This window comes from Homo sapiens, chromosome 6 (genome assembly GCF_000001405.40).
Source record: "Homo sapiens chromosome 6, GRCh38.p14 Primary Assembly".
NCBI classification, from domain to species: domain Eukaryota; kingdom Metazoa; phylum Chordata; class Mammalia; order Primates; family Hominidae; genus Homo; species Homo sapiens.
The window spans coordinates 168,610,167-168,634,598 of NC_000006.12; the positions used below are offsets into that span (position 1 = coordinate 168,610,167).

A 24,432-nucleotide genomic window follows, 5' to 3' on the forward strand; every position below is an offset into this window, starting at 1 on the left:
ATGGGCACGTCAGAAACCATGCTCCTCTCTGCTAAAACAGGAGGAGAAGGATGGTTAGATGCTCACAATGAAGACGGCGTTTCCTTGCCCACACCTCAGACGAAAACCAGATTGCTGAGGCATCAAAGCCACGTGACGCAAACTGTGCAAAGGTCAGCTTGTGCTGTTGCCATAGATGTTTGGGAGTGCACTGTTCATGACCACTTAATTATTTTGATTATTTGGAGATAATTATCCTTATTAGGAAAAAACAAGTAGGTCTTAAAATAGCTGCAGGATAGAGGCTGTTCCTGGTAGAGAGGAGAAACCTATTTCCAAAATAACACAGCAGCCTTTGAGTAGGAAGATCCTTCAGGTCCCATGCAGGCTGATGTATTTTATTCTTAAAAGGTACCGTTTCCTTTTGAAGTTGCTTTTCTAAGGTTTTGCCAATGTAGGTCCTCTATTTTCCATGTAAAGCTGATAATATTTTCACACAAAATTCACTTGTTTGGGGTGAGCAGTTGATTTGTCACCAAATACTTATTCACATCTTATGTAGGACAGTTAGCAGGTGTTTGGCAGCAAACGATCATTGAGTCTTTGGAGGCCATCATTTTATTATATGGCACAAGAGATCTAGGTCTGGCTTAAGGGGCTACATAGTGACGACTGGGTCACCGTTTTGGCTTTTGAAGGTTCTTCTTTCATTGTGTAGGTTTCCTCCTGGGACTATCACATCCTGTGTAGCAGAAATTCTAAAAAGAGGCACAAAACCACACCTTCTTAAACCACACCTTCCTAAACCAGATCTTCTTAAACCAGCCCTTCCTAAACCACACCTTCTTCTTGGACAGGTTCACCTCACTTTATTTTGCCCTGGCATCTCTGATCACACTCTGGTTGGTGTTTTAAATAACAGGGTTACTCTGTCTCTCCAGCCTCCCCAGCCCCCTGACATCCTCCCAGGTCCTCATGTGAGGCTGGAGAACCAGGCACTTGCATTGAGCTGTGGCTCCTGTGTCGGGGCCGTGGTGTGTCTGTTGGGCCCTATGTGGCTCCCGTGTCGGGCCTGGCTGTGGCTCCCATGTCTGGCCCTGCTCTGGTTCCCATGTCCGGGACCCACCGTGGCTCCCGTGTCGGGCCTGGCTGTGGCTCCCATGTCTGGCCCTGCTCTGGTTCCCATGTCCGGGACCCACCGTGGCTCCCGTGTCGGGCCTGGCCGTGGCTCCCATGTCTGGCCCTGCTCTGGTTCTCATGTCCGGGACCCACCGTGGCTCCCGTGTCGGGCCTGGCCGTGGCTCCCATGTCTGGCCCTGCACTGGTTCTCATGTCCGGGACCCACCGTGGCTCCCGTGTCGGGCCTGGCCGTGGCTCCCATGTCTGGCCCTGCTCTGGTTCCCATGTCCGGGACCCACTGTGGCTCCCGTGTCGGGCCTGGCCGTGGCTCCCATGTCTGGCCCTGCTCTGGTTCCCATGTCCGGGACCCACCGTGGCTCCCGTGTCGGGCCTGGCTGTGGCTCCCATGTCTGGCCCTGCTCTGGTTCCCATGTCCGGGACCCACCGTGGCTCCCGTGTCGGGCCTGGCTGTGGCTCCCATGTCAGGCCCTGATGTGGCTCCCGTGTCTGAGCCTTGCTGGAATTCTTCCCTCTGCTTGAGCTGCATCTCTCTTAGCTCCTGTGCCTCCCACACATCCTTCAGGACGGCTTCCTCAGGATGCCCAGGCGGCCGGCCACTCACATGCACCTGTCCAGCTTGTTCCCACCTGGTGGGGCACAGCGTGTGGTGTGGGTGTGGACTCTGCCCCGTGCCTCACAGGGTCCCTGGGGAGGTGGAGACTGCACCTCCATGTTCCCGGCATCCGCGAGGTGGAACGAAGGATGTAGGCAGTTTTCTTTTCCTACTAGAAGACTTTTTGGCTAAGTGATACTGGTAAGCTTTGACTTACTAGCCATGTGGTTTTGCTTATCTAGGGCCCCGCAGCACTGGTCTTGAATGGGCTTTCCAGTGTGGGGAGAGGGTGACCCCAGCCTTTACCTGAAGAGCAGTGCTGGGTTCGTGATCTCCATCGGGGAGAGGGTGACTGCAGCCTTTACTCAAACAGCAGCGCTGGGTTCGTGATCTCCATCAGGGGAGAGGGTGACCCCAGCCTTTACTCAAACAGCAGCGCTGGGTTCGTGATCTCCATCAGGGGAGAGGGTGACCCCAACCTTTACTCAAACAGCAGCACTGGGTTCGTGATCTCCATCAGGGGAGAGGGTGACCCCAGCCTTTACCTGAAGAGCAGTGCTGGGTTCGTGATCTCCATCGGGGAGAGGGTGACCGCAGCCTTTACTCAAACAGCAGTGCTGGGTTCATGATCTCCATCGGGGAGAGGGTGACCCCAGCCTTTACTCAAACAGCAGCGCTGGGTTCGTGATCTCCATCAGGGGAGAGGGTGACCCCAGCCTTTACTCAAACAGCAGCACTGGGTTCGTGATCTCCATCAGTCCTCAGGGCCCCTTCTGCTGAGTGAGAGGGGAAAAAGCCAGAACAGTCCCTTGCTTGCCTCAGCTGCGGCACCGGCTCCATTTGTGATTCAGGCTCGTAGGCCCTCGGCGCGGCAATGCAAGAGGCCATCGGCACAACCTTGTCAGAGAGGAGATGCAGGCGAAAGACAGAGGTGCAGGGAGATGCACCTGTCCAGAGCAGAGCAGGCCCAGTCGCCGGCAGGTTCAGGGCAGGAGCATCGGCCAAGGAGAGTTGGCTCGAAAACTTACAATGGAGACTTTGATCTAAAGTGAAGTCAAAATAAGTGATTTCATGGCCTAGAGTGCAGGGTTTCCTCTCACCTTTCCTGATCATGCAATTGTGTCTTTCACTCTCGGATACGGTTTTCCGGCTGACTCTCATTCTCAGGACCAATCGTATTCGAATGAGCAGACTGGCTTTCCTCTGGGCGTTGCTTCATTTCAGTCTACACTGGCAGGGAACGCTCACATTTTCGTCATTGTGACGATCTGCGCTGCGTGCAGTCTGATCTCACTCTCAGGCACTGTGGTCCAGGCCACCCCAAAGGCAGCACAGGAGCTGGGCCCTGGGGGTCAGGAAGGTGCAGGGGAAGTCTGACGTATCCTGTGAGCCATTCCTTCCTCCACCAGCTCAGGTGAAAACAGCACTGTCTTTCTGTGGGTGTCCTGATGTTGGTGGTTCAGCAGTGGCACCAGTGTGAGGACAGAGGGGGCGGCATGAGGAGCCCCTTGGGGAGCCTGGGCATGGCCCCTCTGTTACTGCCCTGTACCCCAAGCCAGGGTCCTCTCCTGGATCCCCAGAGCTCTTCCGCCTGGCACACAGTCTAAGAAATGGTCTTTATTTTGGTCAAACAGCCTCTCACCCAAGTGTTTCTGGAAGCTCTATGGACCCAGCAGACTTCATGAATGGTCAAGGCCTCTCCCTAAAGGGCATGGCACAGTGCCTCTTCACATCTACAGCCAGCACAGGGGGCCTCTTCACACCTACAGCCAGCACATGGAGCCTCTTCACACCTACAGCCAGCACAGGGCCTCTTCACACCTACAGCCAGCACAGGGCCTCTTCACACCTACAGCCAGCACAGGGGGCCTCTTCACACCTACAGCCAGCACAGGGCCTCTTCACACCTACAGCCAGCACAGGGCCTCTTCTCCTAGAGCCAGCACAGGACCTCTTCACACCTACAGCCAGCACAGGGGGCCTCTTCACACCTACAGCCAGCACAGGACCTCTTCACACCTACAGCCAGCACAGGGGGCCTCTTCACACCTACAGCCAGCACAGGGCCTCTTCACACCTACAGCCAGCACAGGGGGCCTCTTCACACCTACAGCCAGCACAGGGCCTCTTCACACCTACAGCCAGCACAGGGGGCCTCTTCACACCTACAGCCAGCAGGGGGCCTCTTCACACCTACAGCCAGCACAGGGCCTCTTCATACCTACAGCCAGCACATGGAGCCTCTTCACACCTACAGCCAGCACAGGGGGCCTCTTCACACCTACAGCCAGCACAGGGGGCCTCTTCACACCTACAGCCAGCACAGAGCCTCTTCACACCTACAGCCAGCACATGGAGCCTCTTCACACCTACAGCCAGCACAGGGCCTCTTTATACCTACAGCCAGCACAGGGCCTCTTCACACCTACAGCCAGCACAGGGCCTCTTCATACCTACAGCCAGCACAGGACCTCTTCATACCTACAGCCAGCACAGGGCCTCTTCATACCTACAGCCAGCACAGGGCCTCTTTATACCTACAGCCAGCACAGGGCCTCTTCACACCTACAGCCAGCACATGGAGCCTCTTCACACCTACAGCCAGCACAGGGCCTCTTCACACCTACAGCCAGCACAGGGCCTCTTCACACCTACAGCCAGCACAGGGCCTCTTCATACCTACAGCCAGCACAGGGGGCCTCTTCACACCTACAGCCAGCACAGGGGGCCTCTTCACACCTACAGCCAGCACAGGGCCTCTTCACACCTACAGCCAGCACAGGGCCTCTTCACACCTACAGCCAGCACAGGGCCTCTTCACACCTACAGCCAGCACATGGAGCCTCTTCACACCTACAGCCAGCACAGGGCCTCTTCACACCTACAGCCAGCACAGGGCCTCTTCACACCTACAGCCAGCACAGGGCCTCTTCATACCTACAGCCAGCACAGGGCCTCTTCACACCTACAGCCAGCACAGGGCCTCTTCACACCTACAGCCAGCACAGGGGACCTCTTCACACCTACAGCCAGCACAGGGGGCCTCTTCACACCTACAGCCAGCACAGTACCTCTTCACACCTACAGCCAGCACAGGGCCTCTTCACACCTACAGCCAGCACAGGGCCTCTTCATACCTACAGCCAGCACAGGGCCTCTTCACATCTACAGCCAGCACAGGGCCTCTTCATACTTACAGCCGGCACAGGGCCTCTTCACACCTACAGCCAGCACAGGGGGCCTCTTTACATCTACAGCCAGCACAGGGGGCCTCTTCACACCTACAGCCAGCACAGGGCCTCTTCACACCTACAGCCAGCACAGGGCCTCTTTATACCTACAGCCAGCACGGGGCCTCTTCACACCTACAGCCAGCACGGGGCCTTTTCACACCTACAGCCAGCATGGGGCCTCTTCACACCTACAGCCAGCACGGGGCCTCTTCACACCTACAGCCAGCACAGGGCCTCTTCACACCTACAGCCAGCACAGGGGGCCTCTTCACACCTACAGCCAGCACAGGGCCTCTTCACACCTACAGCCAGCACAGGGGGCCTCTTCACACCTACAGCCAGCACAGGGCCTCTTCACACCTACAGCCAGCACACGGCCTCTTCACACCTACAGCCAGCACAGGGTCTCTTCATCTTCATACTTACAGCCGGCACAGGGCCTCTTTACATCTACAGCCAGCACAGGGCCTCTTCATACCTACAGCCAGCACAGGGGGCCTCTTCACACCTACAGCCAGCACAGGGCCTCTTCATACCTACAGCCAGCACAGGGGGCCTCTTCACACCTACAGCCAGCACAGGGCCTCTTCACACCTACAGCCAGCACAGGGGGCCTCTTCATACCTACAGCCAGCACAGGGTCTCTTCACATCTACAGCCAGGAGCATCTTTTTTCTTGGGGCCCCAAGCAATTGCTGGCATAATTATCGTCTTTGACTCATGTAGAAACCTTAGAGGCAACACCTGGATTTTTCAGACACGATTTTAGCACTATTCTAATTTTTTGAAGATTAGTTATGGTTTTCTGAGAGAGCATAAAATGAACCTTACCTTGCCCTAAGTGGAGCTTAGGACATTTTCCAAAAGGTAGTTAGATCAGGAGCAACACATTCCTGCCAGGTATCATGTGACATGTAAGGACCTCGGTGTTTACCTTTTCTACAAAGCAGACAGGAGCCGGCCAGGACCTCGCTTGGTGGCCTTTGAGAGCCTCACAAAGGTGACACGAGGTGTCAATATTCTGCCCACTAAAAATGTCTACTTCTGTGATCCCTGCTGTCATATCAAAGACTGAATTTACAGACACGAGTCTTCTAAATTTTAGCTGAGCTGGGAACAAAGCTTCAGGCTTTAGAAACATACTACTGTAATTCTGGGGATGTGAGTAGTTAGGTGAGCTATCTGCACTCTGTGTCCATACAGGCTCACGCCAGAACCAGCTGCTCAGGGCACAGGCTCAGACTCTCCATGACCCATGAGGCTGGGACAAGGACTGGGTGTTGAGGAGGCTGGGATGCGAGGCTGTCTGTGAGAGAGGATTTTTAACCTGGCATTCTGCTTTTGAGAGCTGTCTGGTGGCATGATACCTAAAGAACATCAACTCAGCCTCATGGGTAGGGCTGGGGAGTCCCAGATATGGCAAGAGACCGTTCCACATGGCACCACTTGGAAGAGAGAGCTGAATCTACATTATTTTATTTTTTGACCACTAAGTTGGATGTCTAAATATGAAATTTGCCCATGAATAAGATTAGTAACACTTTTGAAGGAAATTGCAGTTTTTAGGAAGCGTAACAGTGAAATGGACCATTAAATCAGTTTTATTGAGAAAAGACTGCTGCAAATAAAAACTCAGAAAAACCACACATATAATTGCCATCCCAGAGGCATCATAAGACAGGAAGAGCAGGGACAAGGGGTGCCGAGGAGTCAAGCGGTTGGGAAAAGGTGGTTTTCAAGAACCGGTGTCTGTGGAGCATCCCGAGATGCCGCTGCACTGCGGGGGGGTTGCAGGGAGCTCCTCCAGCAGCTGAGGGAGCCCACGCAGGTGCAGGGACACAGGTGAAGTGAGCGTTTCACTCAGCGCTTGCCTTTTCTCCTGGGAAAGAAAGTGGACAGGATGCACCCTGCAGAGGGCACCGGAGAGATGAGAACTAAGAAGGAGCGATATGGCTACTCTTGCAGCAAGGCCAGCAGAATTCTCAGTGGGATTTTATTACAATATTTCTTTTGGCTGATATTTTGTCTTCATGTTTGAGAGTAAGGAGACATTGGAGGTTTGGGGGAATGTGGGAATTCATCATTCTCAAAAAAACAAGAACAGGAATAGAGAAATTAAATAAACAAAGGCGTTTTATTTTCCTCAACATGTAGAGGAAAGACTAACAAATGTCTAATTATGTACAGGAGGGTGCTGGGCGCTTTTTCTGTTTATTAATTGATACTTCAACAGCTGAGTGTGAATAACTGAGCAGGGTGGCTGTTTCTCACCGACGTGGCTGAGCAGGAGCTTTTCTCACACCCAAGGACGGGTCTCCCAGGGGCCCAGGGCACTGCATTCGTGGACTCTGAAGACGGGGCAGGAAGCTGGAGCTATAGTTTCTCCCATGACCTTTCAAGCAAAAGTTTAGGACTCTGATGGGCCAGGGGCACTCCACTCTTGTCCCGCACTCACATCCGCTTGGACAAGTCCTGTCTCTGCTCCAAGCTCTCTTGCATCTCGCTGGCTGCCCCACTGCTTCCTCCAGGCGAGTTTCCAAATAGACTGTAAGTAGATTCTGATCCCCATCCATGCAGCAAGAAGAGGTGTCTGGAAACCCCAGATCTGGCCTGTATTGCTTCCCATCATCAGGGTCTCCTGGCTCCAGATTAAATGTGAACTGCTTGTTGTGACCGATGGGGCCCCTCCTGGCCTTACCCCAGTGCATTTTCTGTTTTCTTCTCTCCGCCATGCATGGGACTGTATCTCGCCTGATTGCATGGCCTACTTGGAGAGGCGGGGGTCGCGTCCAGCGCCTCGCTGAGGGGCCATGCCTCCAGCACACAGGACACAGGTCATTTCCCTGAGAGGCATGCTGACATGGATTGCCAGGTTTATGGGGTCTGCCAGGGATAAAATAATCTGAGATTTTTAACCCACCCATTTATTTCCCATCCAAGAAAACGGATCTGTCCTATGGCGTGTTATTAGCCGCAAGGCTGCCTGCATGGGAGTGGCCTGGACCATCGCCCCAGGGCCCAGTGCTCCAACAGGACCCTCGGTTTATTGCTGTGCTATCACCACGATGAAATAATTAATTTTTAAACGCGAGGCCTCCGTGCTCCATTTTGCACTGAGCCCTACAAACAAGCCGATCATGATTAGTAACAACACACAGCTTGCAATTCACTGGGCATCCAATGGCAAAGAGCCAGCGTAGTGGCATTAAGAGGCGAGTCAAGGAGAGGCAGGTAGTGGCATTAAGAGGAGAGTGGAGGAGAGGCAGGTAGTGGCATTAAGAGGAGAGTGGAGGAAAGGCGGGTAGTGGCATTAGGAGAGTGGAGGAGAGGCGGGTAGTGGCATTAGGAGAGTGGAGGAGAGGCGGGTAGTGGCATTAGGAGAGTGGAGGAGAGGCGGGTAGTGGCATTAAAAGGAGAGTCGAGGAGAGGTGGGTAGTGGCATTAAAACGAGGGTCGAGAGGTGGGTAGTGGCATTAAGAGGAGAGTTGAGGAGAGGCAGGTAGTGGCATTAAGAGGCGAGTCAAGGAGAGGTGGTAAAAGAGTTAAGACAAGGCCAGGGAATGACGATGGAAGGGCTAGGAATGTCCCGCATGGGGTGAGCACAGATGCAGACAGGAAGACGGTGCGCTCAGGACATCAGTAGCCCAGCTTAGGCGATGGGGAAGGTGACATCGTCTCCTGCAGGGACTATGGGCTCTCGACGCAGCAGGCACACGGGCATCCGGTCTGGGAGAGACAGCGATGGCAGGAAAGCTGGAGTGCCCTTCAGTCACTACTCCACAGACTCCACTAAACTGGGAACCAATTTCTGAAATTATGGGCTGCATTTTATTTGTTTATTCAATATAATAAGACAATAAATATCTTAATCTTAAAATACCCAGGAATTTGCTAGAATATCAGAGAACCAAGTGTTAGATGACCTATGACCTGACACAAAATGACCCTCAGCACGGATCGGAGAACTTGAGTTCTGAGCAGCGCCGGTGACCGCAACAGCACATTGTTGAGTTATTTTAGAAGCAATGTGGCTTGTTTTTGTTTATGGTTTCCTTTAGAGCCAGATTTTTAAAGATAAAGTGCCATTTAAAAAATTCCCAAAGACAGCAGGGAGCATTCTGAACGACAACAGGACAGTCAGCTCTGGCCAGTTTAGCCTGCGTTACTTTGAAAGTTATGATTATGCAGAAGAGAGATGGAATAAAGTTTAGATTTACGTTCATCATGAAAAAGGCATCTGCCAGACAAATTAATAGTGTAAGCAATATTTCAGAGACAATTTAAATAACTTGAGAACAAACTGGTCTCCAACACTATCAAATATATTAAATTAATTTCTAAACAATTGTTATTCTATTGCAAATAATTCCTAACTCTATTAAAGCAGTTTATCCTAAATGATTAACTACTTTAAAAGCCTTCCAAGTACGGTATACACTTAAAAATAACAAGTATGCTTTTAACTGGCCTACAGTGGTTAGTTTAGACTTCCCTCCTATCTTTTCTGAATTGATTGAGGCTCTACCATAATCAAATTAAAACCTCCTATAACGCAAGTCTCACTTACTTCCCGTTTGCCGCTGACTCAGGCAGGAAACCACCGTGGTACTCCTGAAAGCGCCCTTCTTTCTCAGAGGCTGTGCACTTCAGGTGAGACCACAGTGAGGCCAGTCCGGACAGAGGGGACTCTGCCTGGAGTCGGAAGGTCTCCACAGCCAGCTGTCCCTTGTGTAGCCAGTGCCTGCCATGGTTAGAAAGCCCACAGCTTCAGTTTACACGCTCTGTGTCTTGTGGCCCTTTTACTCTACGTACCAGTCATGGTCACTGTGCTCCGGCAGGCCGTTGTCCAGCTCGCTCTCAAGGTTCCGGACACACGGGCTCTGTGCTCCCTGAGGTTGGCAGTCACTGCCTTCAGGTCTTCAGATCCCCTGCACCAGGTTGCTCAGGCATGAAACACACAGCCCTACCTGCGTGTAATATTTGCCTGTGGTCTCTCCCCTCCACCAAACCAAGCAATTCAGATGCCTTGAGCGTTCTTTAGCTATCGGTATTTCATCTCTTCACTGAATCATGTTTATTGTTTTCACTTGGAAGCGCTTATCTTCCTGATTCCCCTATGTCTTTAAACCCAACGCTGGCAGAATACTAAGACTGCATGGTGCCTTCTCTGCTTTACCTTCTCATGAGAATTACAAATCCCTTTGTTTTCTAATTTTGCAAGCAAGTATTTATTACATGCCTGTTGCATAGGTGGTGCTTGCCAATGTTCTGGGAGATGCAAGTCAATAGAGATCCAGCTCCCGTACTCTGGAGCTGAGACCTGGCTGTGAGGATTGCAGGTTTATGACCCTGGGATGAATGCTCTTGAACAAGAAAGCCACCTTATTTCAGTTTGAAATATTGGGAAAATGGAGACTGATATATAGGAAAATTTTCCCTATGTCTAAAAATATTATGGTAGAATTCTTGTAAACTCTTTTCCAGACTTGTACCAATGTCAAGAACATTTCACCCTCACCCTAGATAGCACCCTTTGAGTCAGGGAACCGCAGACAGCATGGGCAGCACTGACACTGTGCGGAGAGAGGAGTGAACGTGAGAAATCACTTCTGCAGGAGAAATTAATTCCAAGGGGGATCAAGACAGGGAAAATCCAATTATCCAGGTTGGATATTGGCCAGAGCACTGCGGTTATTACTTCTAGAATAAAGGCAAGACTAATAGAAATGGCCCAGCTGATAGGAGCAATTGAGTTATGTTCTTCCTGATAATTCCTTAAGAATTTAATTGGACAGACTAAGGCTGCAGTGCCCAGATGCATCAGCCGCGTGTCAAACTCCTTGGACACCCTGGATGACCAACCAAGGTCGAAAACTTCTCAAAACCTGGCTTGTGATGAATAACCACAGGCTATGGAAACCCCTAGGATGTTTTCTCAGACAGCATGATTTACTTTTTTTCTTAGTTCTCTTCTAACTTGTCAAATTAAGGACAATCTTTCAGAAACGTCAGAGGTTTCCCTCTGACAGAGAAGGATAAATGGACTGCCCATTAGTTGTTAATTCGCTTTGAGAAATTCCTGAGATAAATTGTTCAAGTGTAAATTTCAGCAGACACACTTTAGTGTTTTGAGTTTCTGTCCTATTTATGCATCTTTTCTCTACGCTTTTCCTGATGTAATCAACTTACTTGAAATGTATAATCCCCTTATTTCCAGAGGAGAATAGTATTAGTCCCAGTGTCAGATTTCTGATTTTAAAAACGTCTCCTAAGGAACACACATTATCTGCCATGAAGTGCTACTTTTTGGAGCAGTCTTTGATATGCTCTTTAAAAATGTATTTGAAGTCCATGTTTTATTTACAATTTTGCTCTGTTAAGTAGTAACCCGCTTGTACTAGTTTGTTTTCATGCTGCTATGAAGAAATACCCAAGATGGGGTAATTTATAAAGTTAAGAGGCTTAACTGATTCACAGTTCCACATGGCTGGGGAGGCCTCAGGAAACTTACAATCATGGCAGAAGGGAAAGCAAACATGTCCTTCTTCACATGGCAGCAGGAGAGAGAAGGGGAAGTGCCAGATGTTTATAAAACCATCAGATCTCACGATCTCACGCGGACTCACTCGCTATCTGGAGAACAGCATGGGGAAAACCACCCCCATGGTCCAGTCACCTCCACCTGGTCCTACCTTTGACATGTGTAGATTATGGGATTACAATTCAAGGTGAGATCTGGGCGGGGACACAGAGCCAAACCATATCACCACTCATTGCGTTACACAGGGGTAAAATTGTTTATTCAAAGGCAGCAGAATAGCATTGTTGTCTTTGGAATTTCTCTAATGGATTAATCTTCTTTTTTTTTTTCTTGAGATGGAGTCTCGCTCTGTGGCCCAGGCTGGAGAGCAGTGGCATGATCTCGGCTCACTGCAAGCTCCGCCTCCCGGGTTCACGCCATTCTTCTGCCTCAGCCTCCTGAGTAGCTGGGACTACAGGCGCCTGCCACCACGCCTGGCTAATTTTTTTGTATTTTTAGTAGAGACGGGGTTTCACCGTGTTAGCCAGGATGGTCTCGATCTCCTGACCTCCTGATCCACCCGCCTCGGCCTCCCAAAGTGCTGGGATTACAGGTGTGAGCCACTGCGGCCAGCCTCTAGTGGATAAATCTTTTTGAAGCAAAGAATGGAACAAAATGAATCTTCTTCCACCATGTGGCTGCACAGGAGTATCAGAGCCTGTTCTGGCTTGGGAGGCTGCCGGATTCATGAATTGTTCATTGTTCAATTAAACTCCTTTACATTAAAAAAAAAAAGACAAGGATAGTCCTGTGCCTCTCCTGGTGCCTGGCAAGTCTCCCCTTTGTTCTCGCCATGGCATGTTGTGTGTTGACATTACTCTTTATTGTTTAGAGCCCTGGCTTTTCTTGCACGTACCATTTCCTGACAGGCAGACCTAGAGTCCATGTGTGCTCGGTTTCTTCCTGACCACTTAACTAACTCAGCAGAGGTGAGACTGTTGCCGTGTCAAGAAAGTGACAAGAGCAGGGCTGCCTGTCTTGTCTTCCCACTGCTATTTCCAAGCCCTTTCCACCCTGAGATGCCATTTCTCTAATCCACACTTCCACAGAGAGCCTCCTTCACAGGGGGGAAGCTGAGGTACAAAATGCTTTACTGCAAAAGTAGATGCCTTTTGTGCCTGGTGCCTGGCATCCATAGAAGGGACAAGGTACAGGACGTGCAAGGCCACTCTCGGAGACCGACACCATGCCCACATTTCTCCAAGGAGAGGACAATCTGTAGAAAGCCGGATGTACTCGGGCTGAGTGTGGGATTGAACTTCCGAGCAGTCAGCCTTAGTGCACACTGGGAAGGGCATGCAGTGGTGTCTTTTCTGGAAGCCCCTCTGGGTAGGGGAGTTTCTGACTTCCGTAGCTTGTCCATCTGGACAGTGAGTTAGCTCTGCTGCTACATAAATTTAAGTAAGTGAGATGATCTGTTTAATTCTGTTCGTGCTCTATTGTCCAGGGTATCTCTATAGAAATGCTCTAAATATAGGAAGCCCAAGAAGATAGTAGAGATTGAGTCAGCAAACCAAGGTCAACATGCAATACTCTAAAAGGACAGAGCAGGCTGGAGGGCTGCGGGGATTCCAGTCAGGCCCACTAAGGCATTTGGACCATGTCCTGCAAGGGTTTTGGCTGAGACATGGATAATTAATTTTTTTTTTTTTTTTTTTGAGACAGAGTCTTGCTCTGTGACCCAGGCTGGAGTTCAGTGACATGATCTTTGCTCACTGCAACCTTCCCGGGTTCAAGCAATTCTCCCGCCTCAGCCTCCGAGTAACTAGGACTACACACCACCCCACCTGGCTTATTTATTTATTTATTTATTTATTTATTTATTAGTAGAAACAGGGTTTCACCATGTTGGCTAGGCTGGTCTTGAACTCCTGACCTCAAGTGATCCACCCACCTTGGCCTCCCAAAGTGCTGGGATTACAGGCGTGAGCCACCACACCTGGCCAATAATTATTTTTTTTATTTTTAATGAATCTGGGTGCAGTGGCTCATGCCTGTAATCCCAGCGACTCAGGAAGGTGAGATGCTGGGCGGAAGGATTGCTTGAGTCTGGGAGTTCCCATCTAGTCTGGACAACATAGAGACCCCCTATCCCCCCAAAAAAATCACTTCGACAGCCTCCGGGACAGTGATTCAGAGATGCACAAGACTGGGGCAGCCAGAGTGGCTGATGCGTGCTGAGGCCTGGGCTGTCGGTGCAGTGGCTGTGGGGATGGCAGAGGAAGGGAGGAGGGAGAGAGGCGCGCTCACCTGCTGGAGGTCACAGAGCCTGGCGGCTGGGTGGGGCATCGCCGCAGAGGAGGCTCCTGCAGCTCAGGGGCGCTCACCCGAGTGGCTGCACGGATGCACAGAAGCCCCTGACTTCCCACAGGGCCGTTCTTAGGACCAAATGGAGACAGTAACAGGGTCAACAACCACCACCACAACATTCAAAATGGCAAATATTTACTGAGAACTTAGACGGTGTCAGCCTAGGTGCTTTCCCTATATGAGTTCATTTACGACTCATGACAGTGCTGTGAGGAAGTGTTATTGATTTGTTCATAGATTAGTGGATTGATATTAAAGACACCACCCTCTGTAACTTAGTTTCACTCAGTGCTGTGGTGACCTATCCAACCCACATGGAAGCTAATCTGAGCTGCATGTGAACACGCACATATGTAGACGAAGCTCGCTAGAGAAACATTCTGTACAATAAAGTACTCGTTGAAAGGCAGGCTTATGTGGAGTACCTTCTGCAATCTATTATTGAAGGAACTAGAAGAGAATTGTTATGAAGTTGTCCTCTCATGTAATGGAGCACAAAGACACACAGACACAGATGACAACAATACAGATTCACACATAGACACATGCACACACACACTGACATACAGAAACACACACACAGATACACAGACACAGATGTGCACAGACACACAGAGACACAGACACAGACAACAGTACAAATTCACACACAGACACAGACGCACACACACACTGACATAAACACACATAGATACAGATGTACACGGACACACAGACACAGACACACAGACACAATACAGATTCACACACACTCACAGACACATGCACACAGACACAACAATACAGATACACACAGACACATGCACACAGACACACATTGACATACAGAAACACACAGACACAGGCACACAGACACACACACATTCACAGAAACACACACACAAACACAGATACATAAACACACATGTACACAGACACACACATCCCCACACACAGACACACAAACACATGCACTCACACAGACACATGCACACCACCACCACCACCAGCAGCACCATCTGGGTCAGATTGGAATGGGGCTCCAATTCCCAAAATGAACAGAGTGATGTGGACCCCGACCCTGCCCCCTGGACACTGTGAAGCGCCGCCCCCGCCCTTCCTCCCAGGGGCTCCTGCTTCGCGTTTGCTCCCCAAGGTCACGAGATGCCTGGCGCTCCAGCAGTAGAAAAGCACTAGGGCATGTGGGGCACGTGGGTCGTCCTCACCGTGAAGACCCGCATCTGCTCAGGCACTGGAGATGCAGCTTAGGATGCTGCCCCTCGGGAAGAAAGACACTGGATCGCAGCGCTGCAGAGTCCCCTTCCTGGAGCCTGCTGGGGTTTCAGGCCCAAGGCAGACAGCAGCTTCGATGTGGGAACGCTGGAGCAGGTTGTGAGCAGAGAGCACTGGGTCCAGCTCCTCGCTGTGCCGGAGAGGCCCAGAGAGGTTCAGGACTCGCCCAGTGTGGCCTGAAGGTCAGCTCAAATGCCCCGCATGGCGTTCTTGGGATTCGAGTTTCTTTTTATCGTAACATTTGCTTTTGGTGGTTTTCTTTCTCACTTGTTCTTTCTTTATTAAAACTAAATAGCATAGGCTCAAATCCAGGGAGCAAACACCTAGGCCTCCGTCTTCTGCCACGTTTTGTGCACTCGCTCTCAGAAAGCCTAATTTTTCTTTACGATTCTTCGAGGGCGTATACACAGCCAAGCCGAGCCAAGTGCCTGTGTCCGTGTGAGCCCTGGGCCCCAGGAGCAAATGAAAGCAAATGCGCCTGTCCACACCCAGACCTGCTTCTTCCCTTTGCAAGGGCAGGGCAGCCGCTCCAGCTCCACCGCTGAGCCAGGAAGGCCGGCCTGTGGGCCCAGATTAAACAGACCAGCTCTGGGCTTTCTCAGCCTAGAGGCGAGGGGCCTCGGAGGAGGAAGCGAATTCCGTGGTTACGTGTTTGATCGCCTGGCAGGAGCCTTGTTGGACCCAGGAGTGAAGGTCTTGACCTGGCTCCCCTATTCTGCAGTGAGCAAGGCAATGGTTAAGACGAGAGCTGCCTTTCTAAGAAAGCTAAGAGGCCAGCACCTGTTTCCTCAGTCACTGGAGAAATTATTCAAGTAGCCCCCACGTGAAGCAGAGGTCTTGCCACGTGAAGGAGGCAAGTTCCTTACACTGCTTAGGAAAAGACAATCTACATTGTGGAGGAATTAATTCTTTTTACTTTTAGGTTATGCGAGACAGACCTGTCTCACTCCTCGCACAGACTCAAGTCCGCGCCCCCGTTTCTGCTCCCTGTGCAGAAGCAAAGTCTTCACCACTGTGGCTTGGGGTGTGAGGAAAGAAGGTGGAAAAATCTGAATTCTGTTGCCAGCGTCTGTTTTTCCTCGTCAGGAATAATTGACGATGTGTGCGAGATTTCTGCAGGCACAGCTCGGATTACTTGAGGTCGTCCAGAGAAGGGGAGACAGCTGCATTTTTCTCTATGTTTTATGAAGAAATCAGAATCCATGCAGTTAACAGGAACACCTGGCCGTGGCGATTCCGCAGACAGGCCTGAGGCACTGGGGTTCCGCCGCGACACTCCACATTCTGCTACAGCCTGTGTCTCCTCTGCATCACTGTGGGCCACAAAAGGCAATGGGCTCTACTCTCTGATTATCACCCAAAGGAAGGGCTATAGGTCACTCTAAAGCCAAACATCATTTAGCAAAAGTGCGTGGCAACTTAACGCGTTCTGTTACCTAGGCCTGTGTTTAACGGCCTGTGTATCTTGGAGAGTGCGCCAGGAAGTGGCATCACTCAGATTCCAGGGGTCTTTACCAGAATTTTAGGTAACGGCTGAAGGAGATGTTGGGCTACACCTGCTTGAATTGTTTGTAGGCTGAAAATGTGGTGATAGAGACCCGGGGCCCTGACAGCCCAGTTCTCTGTTGCCTGAGTTGGCCTGGGTTGGCCTGGACCTGCCGGGAGAGTCATTCTTCTACCTGCTGTGTTTGATTATAGGAGTCTTAGTTTATGTGATTCTCAAGACAAGGAGCTTCTCATTTAACCAGCTTCAGAGAAGAGACACACTCCAGGCCCCATAACCTTGGAGGAGCTAGATATTTGTAAAAATCTAGCCCAAGAAAAATATGTATAGAAAATTACCATGAAACACACCCCCAGCTCCTGATAGGCCAGCATGTTGACTTTGGGTTAGCCGTGAGCTGAGTGTATTATAGACACCCATTTCTCCTCTAGTAAGACTGAGTCTGCTGACTGCAGGGTTATGCCAAAGGCTGATAATTGAAGCACCTTATAAAAATTGCCCTTTGGAAAGTGTGATATTGTTTGTTGAGATTTAGGTGAGTGCACTGTTAGCTGTTATGTTAGAGGCACAGGGAAGATTTCTCTCTTGTTTTAATATCAGGAATTGGTATTTTATCTCCTGATTGCTTGCTCCATGCTGAGCTTTTAATTTTTATTAGATTTCCCTCTTTTTCTTGTCTGTATTACTCTCTGCGGGCAGGATGTCAGGAAGAAAAATGATGTGTTCCTTAATGAGAAAACAACTGAGAACTACAAAATCCAGTGACTCTGGTAGTTGCTCAATGTGATCCAATTCAAACAAGAAATCAATTATAAACTTCCATTCAATGGAGTGATATATTGCTTTGTCACTGGTAGATTCAAAATGGCCTTTAGCTCTGAGCCTGTGGTCCTCATCTCAGGGACAGGCAGCAAGAACTCAGTATACAGTAGGAGCCACTGTGCCCTGAGATGTAGTTGTAATCAGCCTGCACAGGGGTGGACTGTACTGCACAGCTGTGAGGGCACGTGCAAGGGATCCTTTCAAACTGTGCCTCCACTGGAAACTGAAAATTGTCAGAATTCAAATGGAGTCACTTCTGCCAAGCCCAGCTAAGCGGAGGAGAAAGGCCCACAGGAGGGGCCCTCACACACACCAGTGGGGAAAACCACAGCCTTGCACAAAGGCACTGCAGGCTCCCACGGAGAAGCCTTCTGTGTGGACATCAGCCAGTGACTGCCCGTTGAACCCTGGACTAACGCCACTCTTGCCATCCATCCTTGTCAAGGAGGCATGTTTCACAACCACCTTCCTCACCCCACAAGCCCTTGCCTTCCTTGGCCTCCCTGGGCGCGCCTGTGGCCCCCTAGGTTTGCCATGGCTCACGGATTCTGGGGTTGCACTTCTTTGTTGATTCCCAGATAAACACACTTTGGAGAGCCTCACTTTCTGTTGATATTTTAGCTTGACAAAACAAAGGGCCTCGTCGAGACATACACTTTCTTGAAAACAAAACAGTAACATCCCGTTGTCCTCTGTGTGGCTACCTCCCAAATAAAAACCGAGGGCTGGAGAACATCATGCTGCCATAAATTAATATCACCTGAAAAAATATAAGTAAACACTGAGCTTTAAGTGAAACACTTCGTTCCAAAATGGAACTGGATTTCTGTTTGCTGTTACAGTGATGGTTTGTGACAGTCTGTTTAAAAGACTGTGGGCCAGGTCTCCGGACACTCTGTAGTAGATACTAAACACAGCTTCCACATTAGGAAACAGGAGTATGTAATTTGGAGAAATAGTCTAAATTGGAAAATGCAAAACTCGCAGCATGTATCCAACATAAATTATACTTTTATTTGACCAATTCCTTCTCCTAAGTCCCCACGTCTCACTCTTGTCTGCCTATTCAACATGGATTCTGGAGGACCTGCTGCAAGATTACTAAACTGTGCGTGGTACAGTAGATGGGACTGTGCTGAAGGCACTACCTGCTCTCCGTAGATGCCTGCCTCTGAAGGCCTTTCCTTCAGTCCCTTGGCCCTGCCTTTGAGCGTGGTGCCCCGCCGGAGAATGAACTTTAACCAGGCCATTCACTGCTGCAGAGACCACTCTTCTCGGAACACACAGTTTCCGACCTTGGGCCGGTCACGGAGGCGTGGGTGGAGGGCAGTCCGGTCCCTGAGAGGGAAGGGCAGGGGGCCCGGGACATGGGCTGCGCAGGGGTTCCACCCTCCGCGTTGGCTGGCAGGCAGGCGAGGGGGACTCACGGCCTCTTTTCAGCTCTCTCTTCTCTGGGGAAAACTTGCCCTTGACAGCCCTGCTTGCTGCCTCGAGCTCCGAGAGGAGGCTTCGCAGTCACTGGAGCAGCTGTGCTCCTGCCTTTGCTGTTCCTGGAGTTTTGTGCACACAATGTGTGACACCACTGGTTCTCCAGAAGGAGCCACCACACTGTTGTTCCCTCACTCAAGCTGCAAGGTGCAAGCCTTGGCTTCAGGGTCTCCGACAGGTCCTCATCGCCCCCAAGTGCCCTCAGTGCTGTCTTTTGATTCTTCCCACATGGGAAGGGATCAAGATAGGGCGGTCCCCCAGAAACCCCATTCATCGACCTCTTCCAACAGGCCTGCTGCTCTCCCAGTGCTGCTGGCTGTCAAAGGCTCCAGGTCCCAGGCAGGGCACCTGTCGCCACAGGACAGGCTGATTGGGTGCCGGGCTGCCTGAGCTCTGGACCCCAGGGATTTAATTCAGGTGGTCTCTTGTCATCTGGGAAATTTTAATCCAGCTGGGATTACTGTCCGCAAATCATTTGTCCAGAGTTTCCACCAGAAGGAATCCCTGTAGCTAGGTATCACCTTTTCTGTTTAAAAACACCCTCCTCAAGTACAGCCTGGGGAAGCTGAGAGTCATCAAGGAATGAAATGGACTGTTCAGGCCTTTAATTAAGCAGATGTGGACTGAGTGGGCAGCTGACTCTGTGAACAGATGAATGTGTGTGGGGAAGCTGGTCCCAGAGCTGTCTCCATGCAGAGTTCCCATCACTGGTCCTCAGTTTAATAGAATAGTATATTTTTAAAGCTCCGCTGAAGTGTAAGCATTTCTGGTGTTTATGAAGCTGACTTGGTAAATCCTTTTGCCATCTTACTTACATTCCCTTTCAAAGCTTATTCTTTTGCTTGAAACACCGGGGTGGGTGGCTTGGTGGAGGCCATCCTGGGGAAGCACCACTGTGCTGTGAGCTCCTGCCCCATTCTTCAGGGGAACCCTCATTTCTCAGGGTTCTGGGGCTGCCTGTCCTGTCGTGGGGCATCTGAAGAAACCTTGAGATGGTTGCAGCGTCTCGTTCATCTCCAACTCAGGGTGCCACACCAATGCTCTCCCTCCGTGGCCACTTCTTGTTAAAGATGTGTGAGGTAGAAAGAAGACAGGCCCTCTTAGCTTGATTTGATTCCCTAAACTCAACAACAGAAGCCTGTCCTGTTGCGGGAAGTCAGGGACCCCAAACGGAGGGACCGGCTGAAGCCATGGCAGAAGAACGTGGATTGTGAAGATTTTATGGACATTTGTTAGTTCCCCAAATTAATACTTTTATAATTTCTTATGCCTGTCTTTCCTGCAATCTCTAAACATAAGTTGTGAAGATTTCATGGACACTTTTCACTTCCCCAAGCAATACTCTTGTGATTGCCTATGCCTGTCTTTACTTTAATCTCTTAATCCTGTCAGCCGAGGAGGATGTATGTCGCCTCAGGACCACGTGATAATTGCATTAACTGCACAAATTGTAGAGCACGTGTGTTTAAACAATATGAAATCTGGGCACCTTGAAAAAAGAAAAGGATAACAGCAATGTTCAGGGAACAAGAGAGATCACCTTAAATTCTGACTGCCGGTGAGCCGGGTGGAACAGAGCCATATTTCTCCTCTTTCAAAAGCAAATGGGAGAAATATCACTGAATTCTTTTTCTCAGCATGGAACATCCCTGAGAAAGAGAATGTGCGCTTGCGGGTAGGTCTCTGAACTGGCCCCCCTGGGCATAGCCGTCTCTTACAGTCGAGATTGCAGAGATGAAATAGACTCCAGTCTCCTATAGTGCTCCCAGGCTTATTAGGAAGAGGAAATTCCCACCTAATAAATTTTGATCAGACGGTCTGCTCTCAAAACCCTGTCTCCTGATAAGATGTTATCAATGACAATGGTGCCCAAAACTTCATTAGCAATTTTAATTTCACCCCGGGCCTGTGGTCCTGTGATCTCACCCTGCCTACACTTGCCTTGTGATATTCTATTACCCTGTTAAGTACTTGATGTCTGTCACCCACACCTATTCGCACACTCCCTCCCCTTTTGAAAATCCCTAATAAAAACTTGCTGGTTTTTGTGGCTTGTGGGGCATCACGGATCCTACCAACGTGTGATGTCTCCCCCGGATGCCCAGCTTTAAAATTTCTCTCTTTTGTACTCTGTCCCTTTATTTCTCAAGCCGGCTGATGCTTAGGAAAAATAGAAAAGAACCTACGTGAATTTCGGGGCCGATTCCCCGATACTGTCCCACAAAAGTCAGGCCTTGGAGCATCAGAGATGACCCCTCAAAGCATTTGGCAGTGTGCTGGGTTTGAAGTAGGTACACACTGGGTGCAAGAAACTTAGAGGACAGGAAAGGTTCGGCTCTGCAGGACTAGGCAATGAGTGTTCCAGAGAAAATGGGCTTTGAACTAATTTATTAACAATGAGAAAGATGTGAGTAGGTGGAGAATAGATGATGTTCCTAGGAGGGTAACATGGGCTGTGCTGCAGACATGAAAACTTAAGGATTGGCAACTAATAAAACTAACAGTACGTGCTTGGGAAAAGCTTTTCTTGAAGGAATGCAGACATTGGTTTGGTGAGCTTGTTTCTGGTTGGTTGTGTTTTCATATTTCCTCCTCGTCTTGAAGGAATGCAGACATTGGTTTGGTGCACGTGTTTCTGGTTGGTTGTGTTTTCCTATTTCCTCCTCATGTTACATGTTTTCTAAGGAGGATGGAGTTTCCCATTACAGCCTTTGATTATGTGTCCAGGTGAGAAGGTGCATGAGGTCTTTCTTCAGGAATTCTCCCTGAAGAGCAGAGTGAAGAGTTCATTTCCTGCACACAGCGGCTGAAAGCTCAGCCTTCCAGACCAGGCTCATGATGATGATGATCTGGAGGAGGACAGGGCTGCTCAACCAGGGATCCGAGCAGACCCTGCATTCCACATGCAATTCCTAAAGATCCAGGCCTATCACAGTCATCACACGTGAGCTCCGTTCCCCTCACTCAGCATTTCCAGACCTGATGCTTTGTGAATATAAAATTGCATAATAATTCCCAAATCTTACAAACATCTTCATCTGAAATTTTGTCAATGACAGGAGGTTTTTGGTCACCTGGTTGATTAATGGTTGGTTGAGTTGGTTAATATTTAATGGCCTAACTCAGGAACATCAGAAGTGACATTCATATTAACCATCCATCTCAACGGCTGGGGCTTCCTTAATTAGATCACTTTGGCCATACGCAATTATAGAACAAGTCATCAGAACATAGTCGTGCCAAGAATCAACAACTTTGCTATCTTTGACAAATTTTTGTGAGATAATTGCCTTTAAAAGTACAAAACCAGAAACCGTGTATGAAAATAATCACTCTCCCCTTATCAAAGGAAGTGCTTTCACTCTGGAGAGTTGATGAAATTATCTAAGCATCTGTTTTTTACTGAATAGTTTCAAATCAGTGATTACCTGATTGTTGAAAACACTGCACCTCCAGTACGTACACAACCCAGGTGCATGACTTTGGCTTCGTTGTATTTCATATTGTAGATGTTGGCTCAATGTTGCAGCCACCATAATTTTGAGCTATGATTTTTTGAAATTTTGCTATCCAGCCTATTATAAGCTATCCTTGTGTTTATGCAATTTCTGTTTGATATACAGATGGTTAATGTCCTTCTTCATCCACAACATTGTAACTGGTTTTGGAAAAGGAGCAGGCTAAGGACAGAATTCTGTGGCTCGTCCTCAGAAGCTCCCAGAGACTGTCATCAGCCCATCCTTTTGATGCCTTTTCCCTAAAGCTATTGAACCAGATGTGAATTCGCTGACCTCTATTCAGAGATGGGGCTCCTGGGGAAGCCTTTTGGGTCCCACCCACCATTCCTCTCAGGTCTGCAGGTGCAGAGCGGCTTCCCCCTTCCCCAGGGGTCCTTGGCTCAGCTCCCAGAAGCCCCAGCTGTCTCTCCAGCTTCAAGCCACAGGAGTTCACTCTCTGTCAAGTGTTGATGAGAAACCAGGTAAACCCAATCTGCACTGCTGTTTGAGGACGTAGGGCTGAGATGACTTCATTTTCCTCCTCTGTGTCTCCTGCCAGGAATGAGTAAGGAGGTGGATAATCTGCAAAATAAACTTCGGAAAATTTGGTGTATTCAGATAATCATTTGAACCTTGAGGAATGTATACATGTAAAATGTTTTGCTATTTGAAAGCTTCAGAAACTGTATCAGACATGCCCCACCTCCCAGAGGTCCTGATCTGCATTTCCCCATTTCTTAATTTCAGTGGACAAATCCCCAGAGCTCTATAGATGGTCCAAGATATGCGGGAGGGGAGCCCAGATGAGGGCAGGGACAAGTAAGTGCTCCCTGCACATGGCTCGCTGCACACCGGCTTTGCCACATGGACTCCAGAGCTGCAAGGAAATAGGCCCTTGGCTCTCATGCACAAAGATTTGAACTATTGTAAAGAAAGAGGAAAATAAAATATGAAAAACTCAATAATTTAAGAATTACCCCAAACAAAAAAAAATACAGAAGCTGTCACAATACAATGCTTGGCCACTTGTCATTGAGGCAGAAGAAGAAGTGAGTCCTCCTTGCAGGAGACACAGAAGGGCCAAGGGCATGGGAAAAAATAACAGAGGTCAGGGTGTGAAAGCAGGAGGGTGTTCTTGGAGCAGAGACACTGTCATTTTGGGTTTAAGTTGAGTTTTTGTATAGAGAGAGTATGTGGTTATGGCACGGTGCTATGGTTTGGCTGTGTCCCCACCCAAATCTCATCTTGAATTGTAGTTCCCATAATCCCCATGTGTCGTGAGAGGGACCTGGTGGGAGATAATTTAATCATGGGGGTGGTTACCCCTACACTGCTCTTCTCATGATAGTGAGTGAGTTCTCAAGAGATCTGGTGGTTTTATAAGGGGATATTCCCCCTTCACTTTGAACTTCTTCTTCCTGATGCCATGTGAAGAAGGACATGTTTGCTTCCCCTTCTGCCATGATTGTAAGTTTCCTGAGGTTTTCCTAGACATGGGGAACCGTGAGTCCATTCAACCTCTTTCCTTTATAAATTGCCCAGTCTTGGGGATGTCTTTATTTAGCAGCGTGAGAACGGACTAATACACACAGGCTTTGCAGTCTGGCTAGGGGATTTCTAGAGCCTGTAGTCTATCATTGAACTGGCTACTTCATGGCTGAGCCTCTGTTTACTCATTAGGAAAAAAGAATGATACTAAGTCCTGAGATTGTTGGGTTATTGTGAGATTTGGATGAGACCGTGTCTGTAACTTTGCATGGCACAGGACTTATTGCATGCGATAATTGTGCATCAAGGGTTGGCTGTAATTAAAATGAGCATATTTATAACCTTCTTATGGGGATATTCTCCCCAGGTGGTCAATAGATTTAAGAGTGGGTCATAGGTCTCAGGATCCTACCACTTCATGCCCAATTCGAGTCTGAAATGAACACCGCAAACAACCCTCACTGAAGAGAACGTTGTTTCAGAATATTAAAAGTTCATGGTCCTGAGAGAGAAGTCCAGCAATTGAG

At 49.4% G+C, this 24,432-nt stretch overlaps 1 protein-coding gene across 4 annotated transcripts in view, besides 3 other annotated features; it reads left to right on the forward strand.

The window, feature by feature from the left end:
- Positions 1-24,432, forward strand: part of SMOC2 (SPARC related modular calcium binding 2) — a 226,809-nt gene that overhangs the window by 168,983 nt on the left and 33,394 nt on the right. The window lies entirely within an intron of this gene.
- Positions 2,789-2,958: an enhancer, noted in NCBI's record as "experimental_91285 CRE fragment used in MPRA reporter constructs". NCBI's record gives its function as "activates a minimal promoter by MPRAs in K562 erythroleukemia cells, with activity observed for both the introgressed and non-introgressed 6:169013720 or rs118167661 variant alleles {active_cell/tissue: K562}" and the evidence as "EXISTENCE:reporter gene assay evidence [ECO:0000049][PMID:34662402]".
- Position 2,874: a transcriptional cis regulatory region, noted in NCBI's record as "Neanderthal adaptively introgressed variant 6:169013720 (GRCh37/hg19 assembly coordinates) or rs118167661 in the experimental_91285 CRE". NCBI's record gives its function as "modulates activity of the experimental_91285 enhancer by MPRAs in K562 erythroleukemia cells {active_cell/tissue: K562}" and the evidence as "EXISTENCE:reporter gene assay evidence [ECO:0000049][PMID:34662402]".
- Positions 12,532-12,701: an enhancer, noted in NCBI's record as "experimental_91305 CRE fragment used in MPRA reporter constructs". NCBI's record gives its function as "activates a minimal promoter by MPRAs in K562 erythroleukemia cells, with activity observed for both the introgressed and non-introgressed 6:169023463 variant alleles {active_cell/tissue: K562}" and the evidence as "EXISTENCE:reporter gene assay evidence [ECO:0000049][PMID:34662402]".